The sequence below is a fragment of the Homo sapiens genome, chromosome 4 (assembly GCF_000001405.40).
Source record: "Homo sapiens chromosome 4, GRCh38.p14 Primary Assembly".
Classification (NCBI taxonomy): Eukaryota; Metazoa; Chordata; class Mammalia; order Primates; family Hominidae; genus Homo; species Homo sapiens.
Genome location: NC_000004.12, coordinates 126,795,176 through 126,798,772, shown reverse-complemented (window position 1 = coordinate 126,798,772; position 3,597 = coordinate 126,795,176). Strand labels below are relative to the sequence as shown.

The 3,597-nt window shown below is 31.0% G+C and overlaps 1 annotated feature.

The window, feature by feature from the left end:
- Positions 1,180-1,349: an enhancer, noted in NCBI's record as "experimental_73151 CRE fragment used in MPRA reporter constructs". NCBI's record gives its function as "activates a minimal promoter by MPRAs in K562 erythroleukemia cells, with activity observed for the non-introgressed 4:127718664 variant allele {active_cell/tissue: K562}" and the evidence as "EXISTENCE:reporter gene assay evidence [ECO:0000049][PMID:34662402]".

Genomic DNA, 3,597 nt, shown 5'->3' with positions numbered 1-3,597 from the left:
TTTGTAAGGGTGTTGTCAAGATATACATCATCTTATTTTCCTAAAGTAGCAATGAATAGGATAAGAAAGAATACTTTAGTGTAAGATTTTAATTTTTACTTTGACTTCATCACTTGTAAATTATCTCCAGCAAATTGTGTATCTTTTTGATGGCTCATGTTCTTCACTTAAAGTGAAGCTCAAGAGATTAACTGCAAGAGCTCTAACGAAAACTGTGTAATATAATCTACATAAATGGTTTTAAGCAGTACATGACAGATAACAGCCTTTGGATAATTGTTATGTACTGTTGATGTTTTTCTTTTTATTAACATTGTCTTAGTGTTTAGGGCAGTATATGGTACATAAATAGTGCTTACTATACATTTTTCTTTGAGTGAAATATCACAAATTTAATAAATATGTTGTATGTGCTACTATTGCAAAATACAGAGTAAAGACATAAAAGCTATTTTATTGATATTTAATTCCTTAGGTTTTCTTTTATGTTATACAGCCAACTTTAGGGATTGTATTTTCTATGGTTGCTAGATTAATAATATACTGAGACTTTGGAGGGAAAAAGTCAATAATTTCCTGCATGAACTCTAATTTACAACTGAAATTTTGTAATATTGCTCTGAAACTCATCTTTTCCAAAAAAGTACCCTTATATACATCTGCAAGTATTCTTTGGTAGGCACAAAATTGAATTCTTAGAACCAGTAGAATTGGAAATTCCTTGTACTCTTTATTTCATCATATTTTCTGCCGTCCACCAACTGGAAGATTTTGTTGAAACCATTTACTAGTAATGTAATTTACTAGTAATGTAGAGTAAAAACTAAATACGTAGGAAAATTCTGGCCTAAATTATACTCACAAATTCCAAAGTTGTAATCTTTAATTCATGACTTTGATATTTCTGATCAAGGTTACTTTCACCGTATATGCAGCTGACCCTTGAACAACATGAGTTTGAACTTCACAGGTCTGCATATATACGCATTTTTTCAATAAATATTAGAATTTTTTGAATATTTGCAACAATAATAAGAAACTTACCAACAAACCACATAGGCCAGAAATATAAAAAAATTCAAAGAAAATTAGGTGTGTCATGAATGCATAAAATATAGGTAGATACTAGTCTATTTTATCATCTAGTACTATAAATATACACAAATCTACTTTAACAAGTTAAAATGTATCAGAACGTATGCACTGTACATGACACCATTCACAGTGGAGAGAAATGGAAACAAACAAAAACAAAATATTAAATCATAATCACATAAAATTCACTGTAGTACGTACTGTACTACTGTTGTTGTACCTGTTACTAGTGTGCTGAGCTCAGGTGTTGCAAATATCCATTTAACACACTGTGAGTCTGCATGAACAGTTCATCTCTCTAGCAAATTTTGTGTCACAGGAAAAAATGATTTCGAGGTTCTCATATAGTCTTCATCATGTTTAATGCAATAAACTTGAATAACACCATGAGATTCATGTGAAGTGCCCCTCGTGATGTTGGAAGTTCTCCCAAGAAGCAGAGCGAACTCATAACACTACAAAAAAGTTGAGTTGCTTGATACCTACCACAGATTGAAGTCTGTGGCTATGGTTACCAGCTATTTCAGGCAGACAATTTGTCTTGTAATCAGAAGACATAAAGTTACAGTATCAATAAATACAGTATAGTACTATAATTTTATCTTCCATATGATTTTCCCAATAACTTTTTCTCCAGCTTACTTTCTTGTAAATCTATAGTATATAATGTATATAACATACAAAATATGTGTTAATTGACTGTGTTGTCAGTAAGGCTTCTAGTCAACAGAAGGCTACTAATGGGTAAGTTTTGAGGGAGTCAAAAGTTATATGCAGACATTTGGTTGTATATGGGGCAGCATCCCTAACTTCCCCCTTGTTCAAGGATTAACTGCATTCATCAGAATCTTCTGCACAGCAAAGGAAGCAATTAATGAAATAAAAAGGCAATCTATGTATGGAGAGAAAATATTTGCAAGCCATATATCTGATAGTGTTAATACTTGTAATATATAAGCAATTCGACTCAATAGCAAAAAGTGAAAACCATAACAAAAAAAACACACACACACAAACAAATTACCCTATTAAAAAATTGGCAAAATATTTGAACAGACATTTTTCCATAGAAGACATACAAATGGCCAACAGGTATATGAAACAGTGCTCAACATCACTAATCATCAGAGAAATGCATATTAAAACCACAATGAGTTATCACCTCACACTTGGCTATTATCAAAAAGACAGGAGGTAAGTGTTGAATAGGGTGTGGAGAAAAGGGAACTATTTATACATTGTTGGTAGGAATGTAATTGATAGACCCATTATGGAAAACGATACGGTGGTTCCTCAAAAAATTAAAAATAGAACTACCATATGATCAGCAATGTCTCTTCTAAGTGTATGCACCTAGAATAGATGCCTGCACACCTGTTTATTTCAGCATTATTCACAATAGCCAGCTATGGAAACACCTAGGTGTTCATAAATGGATGAATGGATAAAGAAATGATAGATGTATATATACAATGGACTATCATTCAGATCTAAAAAAGAGAAAGATTCTGTCATTTGCAACAATATAAATAAACCTGGAGGACATTACGCTTCATGAAATAAACCAGGCACAGAAATATATATAGTACGTGATCTTAATTATATGTAAAATCTAAAAAAGTCAAATACCTACGAACAAAGAGTAGAATGGTGGTTATCCATAGCTGGGAGATGGAGAAAATGGAGAGATGTTGGTCAAGGGGTAAAAAATGCAGTTAAATAGCATGTCTAGAGGTCTAATATACAACATGATGACTACAGTTAATAATAATGTATACTGAAAATTTGCTAAGAGAATAGATTTCAGGTGCTCTTACAATTTAAAAAAGTAATTATGTGAGATGATAGAGATATTAATTTGCTGGGTTGTAGTAATCATTTTATTATACATATATGTGTATCAAAACACTATGTTTTACATCTTATATACAAAAAGTAAAATAAGAGCAGTAGAACACAACAATATTAGAATATGTAGACGTAAGTTTTTCTCAAGCTTTTCCCTCTTTTACTATTATTCAACTGAATTAACTCAGAGAGCTCAAGATATGTGAGTTCCTATCATAAAAATTTATACATTTATAAAATTAATGCACTTTAATATGTCCAAATTTATTTTCTTATTCTGATAGAATACTCTTTCTAGGATCACTTTGAAAATTGTGAAATATTATACAAATCAATATTATTATTACTAATAATGATATTTCATCATTAAAATAAGAACAACAGCAAGGATGCAAAATGGAAGCTCTAAACGAAAAACCAGGATCTCTAAACCTGAATGATTCCATGGACTTCATCTGTTCTATTTAAGTAGTTTACTACATTATTACTTAGAAAAATGTTTTAAATTACTATTAAAAACTATTAATACTTTATTTTTTTCAATAAGCTTTATTTTTTAAATAGTAGTTTTAGGCTCACAACAAAATTGAGAGGAAGGTACAGAGATTTCCCAGATATCCCCTCCCTGTGACATGCATAGCCTCCCCCATTATC